General features: G+C 52.6%; 1 protein-coding gene and 1 long non-coding RNA gene across 4 annotated transcripts in view, besides 8 other annotated features; both read right to left on the bottom strand.

The window, feature by feature from the left end:
* Positions 1 to 10,499, bottom strand: part of AHRR (aryl hydrocarbon receptor repressor) — a 116,572-nt gene extending 106,073 nt beyond the window's left edge. Inside the window, exon 1 of one of the 2 annotated variants that reach the window (NM_001377236.1) lies at positions 10,394 to 10,499. The gene's annotated coding sequence lies outside the window, so the exon portion shown is untranslated. Of the gene's footprint in view, positions 1 to 9,550; positions 9,604 to 10,393 lie in introns of those variants that run through there. The other variant, NM_001377239.1, reaches the window with a different exon arrangement.
* Positions 1 to 14,709, bottom strand: part of PDCD6-AHRR (PDCD6-AHRR readthrough (NMD candidate)) — a 166,640-nt gene that overhangs the window by 106,073 nt on the left and 45,858 nt on the right. The gene's annotated exons all lie outside the window — the stretch shown is intronic.
* Positions 9,488 to 9,607: an enhancer, noted in NCBI's record as "active region_22273". NCBI's record gives its function as "activates an Ori minimal core promoter by ATAC-STARR-seq in GM12878 lymphoblastoid cells {active_cell/tissue: GM12878}" and the evidence as "EXISTENCE:reporter gene assay evidence [ECO:0000049][PMID:35858748]".
* Positions 9,696 to 10,263: an enhancer, noted in NCBI's record as "H3K27ac-H3K4me1 hESC enhancer chr5:322065-322632 (GRCh37/hg19 assembly coordinates)". NCBI's record gives its function as "activates a minimal SCP1, AML or CMV promoter by ChIP-STARR-seq in naive H9 embryonic stem cells {active_cell/tissue: H9 hESC(naive)}" and the evidence as "EXISTENCE:reporter gene assay evidence [ECO:0000049][PMID:30033119]".
* Positions 9,696 to 10,297: a biological region, named in NCBI's record as "H3K27ac-H3K4me1 hESC enhancer GRCh37_chr5:322065-322632".
* Positions 9,848 to 9,907: a silencer, noted in NCBI's record as "silent region_15865". NCBI's record gives its function as "represses an Ori minimal core promoter by ATAC-STARR-seq in GM12878 lymphoblastoid cells {active_cell/tissue: GM12878}" and the evidence as "EXISTENCE:reporter gene assay evidence [ECO:0000049][PMID:35858748]".
* Positions 9,918 to 10,297: a silencer, noted in NCBI's record as "silent region_15864". NCBI's record gives its function as "represses an Ori minimal core promoter by ATAC-STARR-seq in GM12878 lymphoblastoid cells {active_cell/tissue: GM12878}" and the evidence as "EXISTENCE:reporter gene assay evidence [ECO:0000049][PMID:35858748]".
* Positions 10,388 to 10,877: a silencer, noted in NCBI's record as "silent region_15863". NCBI's record gives its function as "represses an Ori minimal core promoter by ATAC-STARR-seq in GM12878 lymphoblastoid cells {active_cell/tissue: GM12878}" and the evidence as "EXISTENCE:reporter gene assay evidence [ECO:0000049][PMID:35858748]".
* Positions 11,028 to 11,287: a silencer, noted in NCBI's record as "silent region_15862". NCBI's record gives its function as "represses an Ori minimal core promoter by ATAC-STARR-seq in GM12878 lymphoblastoid cells {active_cell/tissue: GM12878}" and the evidence as "EXISTENCE:reporter gene assay evidence [ECO:0000049][PMID:35858748]".
* Positions 13,397 to 13,696: an enhancer, noted in NCBI's record as "active region_22272". NCBI's record gives its function as "activates an Ori minimal core promoter by ATAC-STARR-seq in GM12878 lymphoblastoid cells {active_cell/tissue: GM12878}" and the evidence as "EXISTENCE:reporter gene assay evidence [ECO:0000049][PMID:35858748]".

Here is a 14,709-nt window from a genome sequence, read left to right as displayed (position 1 = left end):
TCCTCCTCTTCCTCTCAACAAATGTTTAAAAATTAAAATTATATTAAGTATCTTCTCAAACCACAGTGGAATAAAATCATAAATAAATACCAAGAGCAACTCTGGAAACTATACATACATGGAAATTAAACAATATGCTCCTGGGTCAACAAAGAGATTAAGATGGAAATTTAAAAATTGCTGAAACAAATGAAAATTAAACACGACATACTTTAAAAACCTATGGGATATAGCAAAAGCAGTGCTAAGAGGGAAGTTTATAGTGGTGGTCCCCAACCTTTTTGGCATCATGTACTGGTTTTGTGGAAGACAATTTTTCCACTGACTGCAGATGTCGGTAGGGATGGTTTTGGGATGAAACTGTTCCATCTCAGATTATTAGGCATTAGATTATCATAAGGAACGTGCAACCTAGATCCTTCGTAAGCACAGTTCACAATAGGGTTTGTGCTCCTATGAGAATCTAATGCTGCTGCTGATCTGACAGGAGGAAGAGCTCAGGTGGTAATGCTCACCCGTCCACCACTCACTCCTGCTGTTTGGCCTGGTTCCTAGCGAGCCATGGACAGGTACCGGTCCGAGGCCTGGGGGTTGAGGACCCCTGGTTTATAGTATTAAATGTCTATATCAAAAAAGTAGAAAGATTACAAGTTAACAATCTAATTATGTGCCTCAAAGAACTAGAAAAGCGAGAACAAACCAAACCAAAATTAGCAGAAGAAAAGAAATAACAAAGACCAGAGCAGTGCTAAACGAAATAGAGACTGCTAGACTAACAGAGAGAAGACCCAAATAAACAAAATCAGAAATGAAAAAGGAAAACACTAATACCACAGAAATACAAAAGATCATCAGAGACTATTATGAACAACTATATGCTCACAGATTAGAAAACCTAGAGGAAATGGATAAATTCCTGGAAACATACAATCTCCCAAGACTGAACCAGGAATAAATAGAAAACCTGAACAGATAAGTAATGAAAAGTGGGATTTAATCAGTAATTAAAAACCTCCCCCAAAAGAAAAGCTCACAACTGGCCAGGCGCAGTGGCTCACGCCTGTAATCCCAGCACTTTGGGAGGCCGAGGCGGGTGGATCACGTGGTCAAGAGATCAAGATCATCCTGGCCAACATGGTGAAAGCCCGTCTCTACTAAAAATACAAAAATTAGCTGGGCATGGTGGCACGCGCCTGTAGTCCCAGCTACTCGGGAGGCTGAGGCAGGAGAACGGCATGAACCCGGGAGGAGACGGAGCTTGCAGTGAGCCGAGATCACACCATTGCACTCCAGCCTGGGTGACAGACCGAGACTCTGTCTCAAAAAAAAAAAAAAAAAAAAAATGCTGAATTATACCAAACATGCAAAAAAAGAACTAAGACCAATCTTCCTGAAACTGTTCCAAAAAATTGAGTAGGAGAGAATGCTCCCTAACTCATTCTAGAAGGCCCATATCACGCAGATACCAAAATCAGACAAAGACACAACAGAAAAAGAAAACTACAGACCAATATCCCTGATGAACATAGACTCAAAAATCCTCCGCGGCGCACAGTGGCTCACACTGTAATCCCACTTTGGGAGGCCAAGGCAGGTGGATCACTTGAGGCCAGGAATTTGAGGCCAGCCTGCCCAACACGGCAAAATGCTGTCTCTACTAAAAATGCAAAAATTATCAGGGCATGGTGGTGTGCACCTGTAAGCCTAGCTACTCGGGAGGCTGAGGCATGAGAATTGCTTGAACTTAGGAGGCAGAGGTTACAGTGAGCCAAGATGGTGCCACTGTAGTCCAGCCTGGGTGACAGAGTGAGACCCTGTCTCAAAAAAAATCTTCAACAAAATATTAACTAACTGAATCCAACAGCCCATCAGAAAGATAATATACCACAATCAAGTAGGCTTTGTATCAGGGATACAAGGATGGTTCAACATATGCAAATTAATAAATGTAATACATCACATAAACAGAATCAAGGACAAAAACCATACGATCAACTCAATAGATGCAGAAAATGCCTTTAATAAATTTCAGATCCCTTAATGATAAAAATCCTCAAAAAACTAGGCACAGAAGGAACATACCACAAAATAATAAAGGCTATTTATTACAGACCCACAGCTAACATCATACTGAATGAGGAAAAGTTGAAAGCATTTCCCCTAAGAACTGGAACATGACAAGAATGCCCACTTTCACCACTCCTATTCAATATAATACTGAAAGTCCTATCCAGAGCGATCAGGCAGGAGAAAGTACATAAAAGGCATTCAGACTGGAAAAGAGGAAGTCAAATTATTCCTATCTGCCAATATGATTTTATATCTAAAAAAACCTAAAGATTCTACCAAAAAAACTCTTAGATTTGATAAGTGAATTCAGTAAAGTTGTAGAATACAAAAGCAACATATAAAAATCAGTAGCATTTCTTTACACCAATAATGATCTAGCTGAGAAAGAAATCAAGAAGACAATCTCATTTACAATAACCATTAAAAAATACCTGAGAATAAAACTCTACAAGGAAAATTACAAAACACTGATGAAAGAAAATTGTAGATGACACAAACACGAAAACATCCATGTTCATAGATCAGAAGAATTCACATTGTTAAAATGACCACACTGCCCAAGGCAATCTATAGATTCAGTATAATCCCTATCAAAATACCAAAGTAATTTTTCACAGAATTAGAAAAAACAATCTCAGGCTGGGCATGGTAGCTCACACTTGTAATCCTAGCACTTTGGGAGGCCAAAGCAAGAAGACTGCTTGAGGCCAGGAGTTTGAGACCAGCCTGAACAACACAGTGAGACCTCATCTCTACAAAAACATATTTTAATTTAAAATTAGTCAGGCATGGTGGCACACACCCATAGTCCAGTTACTCAGGAGGCAGAGGCCAGACAATCTCTTGGGCCCAGGAATTCGAGGTTGCAGTGAGCTATGCGCCAATGCACTCTAGCCTGGGTGACAAAGCAAGATCCCATCTCGAAGCAAAAAAGAGAGAAGAAGGAGGAGGAGAAGAAAAGAGAAAAAGAAAAATAATCCTAAAATTCATAAGGACCAAAAAAGACAGAGGTGTGTGTGTCAGCGCAGGAAAAACTACCATTTATCAAACCATCAGATCTTATGAGAATTCACTCACTGTCATGAGAACAGCATGGAGGAAACTGCCCCCATAATCCAATCACTTCCCACCAGGTCTCTCCCTAAACACCTGAGGATTATAATTCAGGATGAGATTTGGGTGGGGACACAAAACCTAACCATATCACTACATGATTTCAAATTACACCACAGACTATAGTATGGGTCTTAAACTAAAAACCTTCTGCACAGCAAAAGAAATAATAAACAGAGTGACAATATAACCTGTTAAACGGGAGAAAATATTTGCAAACTATTCATCCAACAGGGGAGTAGTAACCAGAATATACGAGGAACTCAAACAATTGAACGATGGCAACAACAAAAAAACCCAAGTGATCCCATTAAAAAGTAAGCAAAGGACATGAATAGACAGTTTTTAAAAGAAGAGATACAAATGGCCAACAGGTATATGAAAAAATACCCCACATCACTAATCATCAGAGAAATGCAAAATAAAACAACAATGAGATATCATCTTACACCAGTCAGAATGGCTATTATTAAAAAGACGGCCAGGTGCAGTGGCTCATGCCTGTAATCCCAGAACTTTGGGAGGCCGAGGTGGGTGGATCACTTGAGGTCAGGGGTTGGAGACCAGCCTGACCAACATGGTGAAACTGCATCTCTACTAGAAATACAAAAATTAGCTGGCATGGTGATGGGTGCCTCTGAGGCTGAGGCAGGAGAATTGCTTGAACCCAGGAGGCAGAGGTTGCAGTGAGCTGAGATTGCACCACTGCACTCCAGCCTGGGCGACAGAGGGAGACTCTGTCTCAAAAAAAAAAAAAAAAAAAAAAAAAAAAAATCAGATGTTGGTGAGGATGCAGAGAAAAGGGAACTCATACACTATTGGCGGGAATGTAAACTAGTACAGCCTCTATGGAAAACAGCATGGAGATTTCTCAAAGAATCAAAAATAGAACTGCCACAGCCATCAAAAATGATGAGTTCATGTCCTTTGTAGGGACATGGATGAAACTGGAAACCATCATTCTCAGCAAACTATCACAAGGACAAAAAAACAAACACCGCATGTTCTCACTCATAGGTGGGAATTGAACAATGAGAACGCATGGACACAGGGAGGGGAACATCACACTCTGGGGACTGTTGTAGGGTAGGGGGAGCGGGGAGGGATAGCATTAGGAGATATACCTAATGCTAAATGACGAGTTAATGGGTGCAGCACACCAACATGGCACATGTATACATATGTAACAAACCTGCACGTTGTGCACATGTACCCTAGAACTTAAAGTATAGTAATAATAAAATAAAATAAAATAAAATAGAACTGCTATTTAATCCAGCAGTCCCACTACTAGGTCTATACCCAATGGAAAAGAAATCAATATATCAAAAAGACGCCTGCACTCATATGTTTATTGCAGCACTATTCACAATCGCAAAGAGATGGAATAAACCTAAGTTCCCATCAGTGGATTAATCAAAAGAAAATGTGGTATATATACACAATTGAATATTATTCAGCCATAAAAAAAGAATGAAATCATGTCTTTTGCAGCAACATGGATGGAACTGGAGGTCATTAAGCGAAACAAGCCAGGCACAGAAAGTCAAATGTCACGTGTTCTCACTCACAAGTAGGTGCTGAATTTGTATACACACGGACGTAGTGAGTGGAATGATGGATGACAGAGACCTGGAAGGGTGAGGGGGTGACAAGGGCCCGGCTGATGAGATTTTAGTTAAGGAGTACAATGTACATTATTTGGGTAATGGGCGCCCTAAAAACTTTGACTTGATCACTATGCAATCTATGCATGTAACAAAATTACACATGAACCCATAAATGTGTACAATTTAAAAAATGGGCAAAGGACTTGAGGAGACATTTCTCCAAAGAAGATACACAATGTTCAACGCATGAAAACATGCTCAGCCCTGTAAATCATTAGGGAAATGCAAGTAAACAAAAATCCATAATTCAATACCATTTATACGACTAGGATGGCTTCTTGTTGCTGTTGCCGTTGTTGTTGAGACAGAGTCTCGCTCTGTTGCCATGGCTGGAGTGCAATGGCTCAATCTCAGCTCACTGCAACCTCCACCTCCTGGGTTCAAGAGATTCTCCTGCCTCAGCCTCCTGAGTAGCTGGGACTACAGGCGCGTGCCACCACGCCTGGCTAATTTTTGTATTTTTGGTAGAGATGGGGTTTCACCATATTGGTCAGGCTGGTCTCGAACTCCCGACCTCAAGTGATCCGCCTGCCTCAGCCTCCCAAAGTGCAGGGATTACAGGCGTGAACCATGCGCCGGGCCAGCTATCATTTTTTTTAATGGAACATAACAAGGGTCAGTGGGGCTATGGAGAAATTGGAACTGTTTCTGGTGCATTGCTGGTGAAAATGTAAAATGGTGCACCTGCTGTGGAAAAGTGTGGTGTTTCCTCAAAAAGTTAAACACAGAATCACTATATGATCCAGTAACTCCACTCCTAGGTACACACCTAACAGAAGTAAAAGCATTTGTTCTAACAGAAACCTGCATACAAATGCCCATCATAATTCACAGTAGCCAAAAAATGTAAACAACCTAAATGTCCATCAGCTGAGGGATCAGTAAACAGAATGTGGTATCTTCATAAGATGAAATATTATTCAGCCATGAAAAGGAAGGAAGCCCTGGCACGTGCTGCCACATGGATGGACCCTAAAAACGCTGTGATGCGTGAAAGAAGCTGGACACAGAAGGACACACACTGACCCCATTGCATGATATATCCTGAGTAGGCAAACTCAGATAAAAAGGTTCGTGGTGGCCAGGACCTGGGAGCAGGGACTGGGGAGTGACTGCCTGGTGGGTGAGCACTGCCGGAGGCGATGAAGAGGTTTTGGAGCTAGAGAGAGGCAGTGGCTGCACAACTTCGTCAATGTACTAAATGCCCCTGAACTGTTCACTTTTAAATGGTTAGTTTGATGTTATGTGCATTTTGCCTCAACGAGAAAATACAAAGAGGCCGGCCGCAGTGGCTCACGCCTGTAATCCCAGCACTTAGGGAGGCTGAGGCAGGGGAATCGCCTGAGGTCAGGAGTTCAAGACCAGCCTGGCCAACATGGCGAAACCCCGTCTCTACTAAAAATACAAAAATTAGCCAGGCGTGGTGGCTGGTGCCTGTAATCCCAGCTACTCGGGAGGCTAAGGCAGGAGAATCGCTTGAACCCAGGAGGTGGAGGTAGAAGTAAGCCAAGATCACGCCACTGCACTCCAGCCTGGGCAACAAGAGCTGGACTCCATCTCAAAAAAAGAAAAGAAAGAAAACAAGAAACAAAAAACAAACACCATGTAACACATAGGACACAAATTTACAAATAAATATAAGCAAAATATGTGGAATGTTAAGAAAGAAAGCAAATGGCAGATTGGAGCAGGGACAGATGCCGGTGGGTGGGTGGAGGTGGTGCGGAGGGTGGGACGGATGCTTCGGAAGGGTCCAGCCCTCCCCCCGAGGTGCTGTGGGATGCCCAGCCTCGTCTCCATCATGGTCACGTGTCTGGCCCAGTGCACTTCTCCCAGAAACCAGGTTGGGCACTTGGTGGCTGGAGGCCAGCCTGCAAGGACATCCCATCAGAACTGCAAGGCCTTTCGACTCAAACAGGAAACTCCCAAGCCGCACCCAAGCCTGGCCCCAGTCTGGTGGGGAGAACAGGCCAGAGACGGTTCCCAGCACCCCAAGGTGGGCCGGGCATAGAGCAAACCCACTCGACCACCCCTTGAGGTCAAGGAAGGTAAAGGGGATAGGGTGACCTACACCAGCCCCAGAAGACCCTGAGCCCAGGCACCACCAGCCTGACCAACCCTCGTCCCCAAATGAGTGCAGAGCCACAGGGCAAGAGCGGGTCGGGGGGTGGTGGGACAGCTGGGAAGATGAAGCGGGGCAGGGGATGTTGTCAGAGGTGGGGCTAGTGCAGATCCTTCTTGTCCCCAAAATCCCAAACTCCCTTCCGAGTAGCCGGAATTGAGACGGAAGCCTCGTTGCCCTCCTCAGCCTCACATACCAGTGACTACTCGCCCTGCAACGCCTGGGCAAAGCCACGTTCTCCCAGGTGTCTCCAGCTCAGTGCTGTGGAACGGTTCTAAAATCAAGGGTTCTGGTAAAAATCACCAGAAGCAGATAAATATTCCCTGTGGGCGGTGTGGGGGAGGGGCCCCGAGGAAATCCAAGGAGCTGGCCTGCCTACCCCCTCCCCACAGCCAGTGCCCCCTGAATAACCAGTTTTGGGTTTTTCGTTTTTTGTTTTTGTTTTTTTGAGACGGAGTTTCACTCTTGTTGCCCAGGCTGGAGTGCAATGGTGTGACTTTGGCTCACCACAACCTCCACCTCCCAGGTTCAAGCAATTCTCCTGCCTCAGCCTCTCGAGTAGCTGGGATTACAGGCATAGGCCACCACACCCGGCTAATTTTTGTATTTTTTTAAGTAAAGACAGGATTTCTCCATGTTGGTCAGGCTGGTCTCGAACTCCCGACCTCAGGTGATCCACCCGCCTCAGCCTCCCAAGGTGCTGGGATTATAGGTGTGAGCCACCACACCTGGCCCAGTTTCAGGTTTTGCTTGTGCCTCAGTTCTTTTTTTTTTTAATTTTTTTATATAAATGAATATATTTTTATTAAAAAAAAAATTCCAAGTGGAAGCACCTTTGGCTATAACTCATCGCATTGAAACAGCTAGGCGGCTGGGCGTGGTGGCTCATGTCTGTAATCCCAGCACTTTGGGAGGCCGAGGTGGGGAGAGCATGACGTCAGGAGTTCGAGACCAGCCTGGCCAACATTTAGTAGAGACAGTGAAACCCTGTCTCTACCAAAAATACAAAAATTAGCCAAGTGTGGTGGCTCACACCTGTAGTCCCAGCTACTTGGGAGGCTGAGGCAGGAGAATTGCTTGAACCTGGGAGGCAGAGGTTGCAGTGAGCCAAGAAAGCGCCATTGCACTCCAGCCTGGGTGACAGAACAAGACTCTGTCTCGAAAGAAAAGGAAAGAAAGAGAGAGAGAGAGAAAGAGAGACAGAGAGAGAGAGAGAAAGAAAGAAAGAAAGAGAAAAAAAGAAAGGAAGGTAGGAAGGAAGGAGGGAAGGAAGAGCGAGCTAGGCAAGGTGTTTCAGGGCCGCCAAGTCTTTCCTACCCGAGTCATCAGCCCCTAGCAGATCGGCCTGTTCATTCCTGCCTGTCTGTGAGCCGACTCTCCTCCGCAAGGAGCTCCGTTGAGTCTCCTTCAATGCCTGATCACCCCAGACCACATGGCGCTTTCCCGCTTCTGTGTCGTATTAACCACTTAACACTGGTCAGGGCCACCCGGCGGCATCTCTCCAACTGCATTGCAAATGACGACGGCTGGAACCACAGCTGCCTCCCCCTCCCCCGGCGTCTCAGCACCCAGCACGGGTGAACGAGGTGGGAAGACCCTGTTAAGCCACAAGCCGTCTCCCTCTGATCACAAGGCCTGCTCCCGGGAACACCAGGCCACATGAAGGAGGGGCCTCACAGTTGCAGGAAATAAATAATTTGGCACAAGGATCAAGATAAAGTAGTTTGAGAAACAGTTGCTGATAATACTTTAGAGAAAAGCCTCGCGGAGTTCAGGTGGTCACCTGAGCATATCTGAACTTCCTGGCCCTACTGGCAGAGATGCGAGGGGGTGGCAGGGAAGTGTGTCTCAGTTCTTGCCATACCTAGCCTAAATACAGGAGGAGGGATGCTATTACAATAGGTTGTTCCATTTTACAAAATACTCATGAACTCACCTCAACAGATGGAGCCTCCTTTGGACTGGACCAAACTCCCCACAGAAATGCCCCTGTGAGGCAAGACTCAGCTGTCCCCGGCCTCCTGACGGCAGCGTTCTTCTCTGCCTGGGACACAGGTCGAAGCTGCCTCATAGGTAATTGGGGGACAGGGGAGGACCCTACCCACTGCAGCCAGGGGCTCAGCCGGGGACCACGGGTGGGGCCTCGACAGACTCCTGGGTGCTGCTCACGGGCAGGTCCCACACGGGACAGAGGGGTCGGCCAGGGCCATCTGGGGCCTCCCAACCCCACCAGGCTGTGAGCTGACAGCACTCCTCTGAGAAATCTGAATTTTTCTAAGAACCTTTCTCCCGTGGTAAAACTCGTGTCTGTTCATTTTAGAGAATACAGATAAGTAAGAAAACGAAAATAAAAGCCGTTCCCCAGGCGGTGGCGTCCCCCCCGTCGAAGCGGCTCCCCAGGCGGCGGCGTCCGCCGGGTCAGCATCCTACGTTCTCCAGTTCTTGTTACTCGTGGCTTTTCAGCGACTCTGGGGCCGCATCGAGCCCCGGCTTTGTGCGGGATGGGTATGGCACACTCGGCCCGAGTCCAAACGCCGCCAGTCACTTGCTCTGAGAGGCTGGATGAGCGACCTACCTTGATGTCCTCGTTCGTAAAATGGGTGACGGTTGCCAGGCCGGGGCGGCTGTGAGGCCCCGTGGGGGTGGCGTTTGGAGAACGCGCGCACACGCCCACCCTTCTGCAAGAACCCCGCAGACGAGAGCCTGTGCGCGCGCACAGGAGGCCCAGGGAGGAAGCCCCTCCCCGCCTGCCCTTGCCATCCCGGAGGCCACAGCCGGACAGGCCCGTGGGACAGGCCCGTGGGACGCTTCTGCACAAGGTCTCTGACCTCCGGCCTCGCAGAAGAGGTCAGAGGGTGGCCCCTGCCTGTCACGCGCCCATGGCGACCCCTCCCCAGAAGGGGTCCCAGCGTGGACTCCAGGCGCCACATCGCTCTCTCAGGGCATCCGGTCTGGGAATTCTGGCCGCTCAAAATAAGACTTCAGCGCTACTGGGTGCTACTGAAACCAAGCCTGAACATGGGCCTTTCCCGGGGGTGAGGCCCCCCGGACCTGGCGCCCTCGGCCCGACAGCGGGGCCCCGCTCCGCCGCCCGCACCCGCCCAGCCCCAGGGAGCGCGGCCCGCACGGAACGCCCGGGGAGTGAAGGCTCAGAACACTCTCGAGGGGACGCTGAGGACCACGAACCGTGGACGCGCCGCGGCTTCCCTCCGAGGTCCGAGTTTTAAGTGAGACCAGCCAGCCGCACCCCAGAGTGTCCGCCCCGTCCCGGGGCCGCCGGGCCTGGCGACGCGAGGATGCGGCGTGAGGAGGGTCCCGACGCCGGCGCCCGTCCCTCAGCCCCACACCCGGGAGCGCATCCCGTCTCCACCGCGGGCGGCACGCGGCGGGGGCCTGCGGGGGCGCCCAGGACACTTACCCAGGGCCTGCGGGGCGCGGAGGCTCAGGCACACCCGCGGGGCAGCGCGCCCTGGCCAGGAGCTGTGGCGGCGGGTGCCGGCGCTCGCATCCCGGGAACCCGCGGCGGCTCCAGGGACTGCCCCACCCCGGCACGCGAGCCGCCCGCCCCGCCCCGCAGCATCCAGGGCCGGGAGGCGGCAGAGGGCGCCCGCGGGTCCGGCTGTCTCGGGTCCGGCTGCCCCAGCTGCCCTGGCGAACCGGAGACGCCATCCGGTTCCCCTGGGGTCCGCCCTGCGCCCTTCGCGTCCCAGTGATCCCCCGGAGTCTCCGTGCCCCGAGGCGGGGGTCGCGCGCTGAGCCCCTCCAGGCCCTGCGTTCCCCCTGGGGTCTGTGTGCGCCCAGGGTCCCCCGGTTCTCCCTGCGCCCCCGTCCCCTCCCCAGCGCTCGCGGCCGGCTGTGCTGAGCTGCCGGCCCTAGAGCCGGGCGGTGTAGACCCGAACAGGTAAAGTGAGGAGAGCGTGTGCCCCCTCGCCTGCCCCATGAGGTCGTTTCGAAAATGTAAAAGGAGTCATGGTTTTTGGCGAATTATAGAGAATATTAAGATGCTTTTGGATCCTGAGCTTCCCAGGAAGCGGACGCGCGCCAGGCACGGCAGGGTCGTCCGTGCGACGTTCTTCGTCCTGGGCATTTCAGGGTCCCACGCGGCAGGTGTGCGGCCCTGGGTGCCCCTGCCCCGCCCACCCCGCCGGTCGGCACCCGGGACCGCGCGGCCGAGAGCAGGGTCCTGCCTGCAGGTCCTTAGGGCTCACCCCGCGCCCTCTGCGCGCCCGCCGGCCCCTCCGACCTCGGGCTGCGCCTTCTCCTTCCCCCTCCCGGTGGTCCTTGGCCCCCTCTAGTCCTCCGTCCGGGCGCGCAGGCCCTGGCTGAATTCCCTGTACCCTCAGGGGATCCCTGGGGACACCTCAGCCTGGCCTCGCACCCTGACGTCTCCACAGACCCTGGCCGGCTTCCACCCGTTCTCGCCCTCGCTGGGGCCGGCCATGGAGTCGGTGGTCCCTGGAGTCCGCTCCTCAGCATCCGCGGTCCTCATCCCAGCCGGGGGAACCGCGCCCTCTTCATCCCGCAAGGTCGGTTTTCAGCAACGCGGCCGAGGCTGTCACTGGCGCCCCCAGGTTCTCAGTCAAACCCCGTCTCCCTGACGCCCCCAACCCGCCCCGCGCCTCCTGCTGTTCTCTGAATAAGGCGTGCGGGCCTTGGGGCCTTTGCACTCGCTGTCTGCTGTCGGCTCAGGAAAAGTCTCTTTTCCAGACACAGCTCCCAAGGTGGGGTGGGCGCAGCTGAGAAGCCCACCCTGCCCCCAAGTGGCCACCGCCCCTCCCCGGGTGTAGCTCCTGCAGGGCAGCCCAGAATTGCTGAGTTCTGCCGCTCTGTCCCCAGGGGTCACCAAGTCGGCTCTGCTCACCTCTGGTTCCTGTCGAATAGCAGAGGCTCAAAAATGTGAGCTGAGTAAATGGGCTTTTTTGGGACAGAGTCTTGCTTTGTCACCCAGGCCTGAGAGCAGTGGTGCGATCTCAGTTCACTGCAGCCTCTGCCTCCAGGGCTCAAGCGATTCTCGTGCCTCAGCCTCCCAAGTAGCTGGGATTACAGTCGCGCGCCACCACACCTGGCTAATTTTTTTTTTTTTTTAAGTAGATAGTGGTTTTGCCATCTTGGCCAGGCTGGTCTCGAACTCCTGACCTCAGGTGATCCACCCACCTCGGCTTGCCAAAGTGTTGGGATTACAGGCATGAGCCACTATGCCACTGAGACAGCCAGGAGCCCTGGGTGCACACATTTATTTTTTGATATGGAACAATGTGCAACTATATTGCTGTATTTTTAAAAATCATTAGTTTTATCTTGATCCAATTTTTGTAAAGTGAATTATGCACAGAAAATGTGTAGCTGGATAACTCTGAGGTAACAGGTGAACTTTAATTTCTTTTTACTTTTTGAAAAGTCTACAATTCCTGTAAATTTTTGCAAGAAGCACATAGTACCTTTGTGATCTGTTAAAATAAGAACCTGTGGGTAGAATGTGATGGTGGTGAGCCGCAGTCCCCCTGCATGGGAAGACAGCACCCCCATGTCTCAGGGCAAGCACGGGTTCCCTTCCACCTACCCTGTCCCACCAGAACCAACTGGAATGAGACACTTTGTTACTCTATTTCCTGGGTACAGAAGGAAACTGCTCCTCCTTCCTTCCCACTGCCCTTGACCGGCACAGGCCATCCACGCCCACCTGTCCCCTGTGCTTGTCCCCAAAGTCTCAGGTCTCTGCAGGACCTGGGGCAGCCAGTGGGACTGTGCAGAAAAAGGATGACCCTGCCGTGGGAGCCACTGCCCCTAAAGTCTCAGGGTTTAGCAGGCAGAGCCCCACGTGGAGTCCTGGAGTCTCTGGGCACCCCACCAGCACAATGGGGGATCCCTGAGCCACCTCCCGTTCAGACGGGCTATTGGGCGTGCCTCCCTCCCCACCACGAAGGTCCAGATGCAGCTGACACCCCCAGTCACAGAGTCTCCTTTCTGCCTCTGTGCTGGGGACCCTGTTCAGGAGGTCTCCTCCCTCCAGTCCGGACTTGCTGTCCCCAGTGTCATTGAACCCTCTGGCTCCCACCCACACTCCCAGCAGCTGGAGACACACCCCTTTCTCCTGGGCCACTGGTCCTCTCGGGACTCTGAACCAGAGGCGCTAACACCTGGCAGGGATGGCAGCTGGGGCAGGACTGGAAGCCTCCGAGGACCCACCCCCAGCTCCGGGTACCCCCACACTGGAGTCTGGTGCGGTGGGTCCCCAGAGCCATATGAGCTGGACTTGGCCTCCAGTGGACCGCCACATGGCAGGTGCCCACGGCCGGCTGCAGCGCCAGGCCCCTCCCAAACAGGCCCAAGTTGGCTTCACAGAAGTGTGGGGGCAAAGCTGCTCTTCATGGGCCTCCAGGAGTGGTGACTGTGACTGCCCCCTCCTGTCCTCTCCTGGCCACACCTTTGCCTCCCACAGGCAGGCCAGGTCAGGAGCCCCCAGGGCCCTGACCTCAGAGGCAGACAGGGGTGTGCTGACCCCTCGGGCCAGGCCAGGACCCCGCACAGGCGCCTGCGGCTCTCTGGCTCTCTGATGGCGGCTGGGTTTCCCGGGTTCCCCGGGTTCCCCATGACTGCTGTGTCTCCAGCGTTGATGCCTCACAGGGAGCCGCTTGGGCAGCCCTGGTCACGCCTGGGTTCCCTCTCTCTCCCACACCAGTTTCTCCCTGGTCACGCCTGGGTTCCCTCTCCCACACCAGTTTCTCCTGTAGCACAGAGAAGGACCTGGGGAATTTTGTCTTTTGTTAAAAACCACAAGGGAGCTCCCTGCTGGGCACAGTCACGGTGGCGCCCGTCAGAGCTGCTTCCAGGGTGCATTCCATCATTCCAAGTTCACTGTGCTGGAGTCAGCTCTCTGCTTGCCGCAGGGTGAGGGGGGGAGGTGGAGGGTGAGGGGGGAGGTGAAGGATTGGGGGAGGTGCAGGGTTGGGGGGAGATGCAGGGTGGGGGGAGGTAAAGGATGGGGGGAGGTGCAGGGTTGGGGGGAGATGCAGGGTGGGGGGAAATAAAGGATGGGGGGAGGTGCAGGGTTGGGGGGAGATGCAGGGTGGGAGGGAGGTAAAAGATGGGGAGAGGTGCAGGGTAAGGGTGGGAGGTGCAGGGTGCGGGGGGGAGGTGGAGGGTGAGGGGGGAGATGAAGGGAGGGGGGAGGTGAAGGATTGGGGGAGGGAAAGGATGGGGGGAGGTGCCAGGTGAGGAGGGAGGTGAAGGATGTGGGGAGGTGCAGGGTTGGGGGGAGATGCAGGGTTGGGAGTAGGTGGAGGGTGAAGGGGGGAGGTACAGGATGGGGGGAGGTGCAGGGTGAGGGGCAGGTGCAAGGTGAGAGGGGAGTTGAAGGGTTGTTGGGGGAGGTGCAGGGTTGTGGCGGGGAGGTGCAGGGTGGCTGTTGGGGGAGGTGCAGGGTTGTCCGGGGAGGTGTAGGGTTGTGGGGGGAGATCAGGGTAGGGAGGGTGGGGAGGCATGGGCCAGGGGCCCCAGGTGAGGGTGTACGGCGTGCACCTGCACCTCCATGTCTGCACTGATGACTGAGGACCCAGAGCGGGGGGAAGGAGAGGCCCCCAGAGATGGCTGTGCCCCCATGTCCTGCTGTCTTGGGTCTTGGGACCGGGGTCGTGACGCTGAGGGTCCCTGGTGGGTGGTCGTGGCCGCTGGCCTGGCCTGGCCTCCGCGACCCAGCCTCACCACACTGGGCCTGCGCCAGGCACCTGGTCAGCT

Source organism: Homo sapiens, chromosome 5, assembly GCF_000001405.40.
Source record: "Homo sapiens chromosome 5, GRCh38.p14 Primary Assembly".
Lineage (NCBI taxonomy): Eukaryota > Metazoa > Chordata > Mammalia > Primates > Hominidae > Homo > Homo sapiens.
Note: the sequence above shows the minus strand (reverse complement) of the source record. Positions and strands in the feature narration are given on the sequence as shown.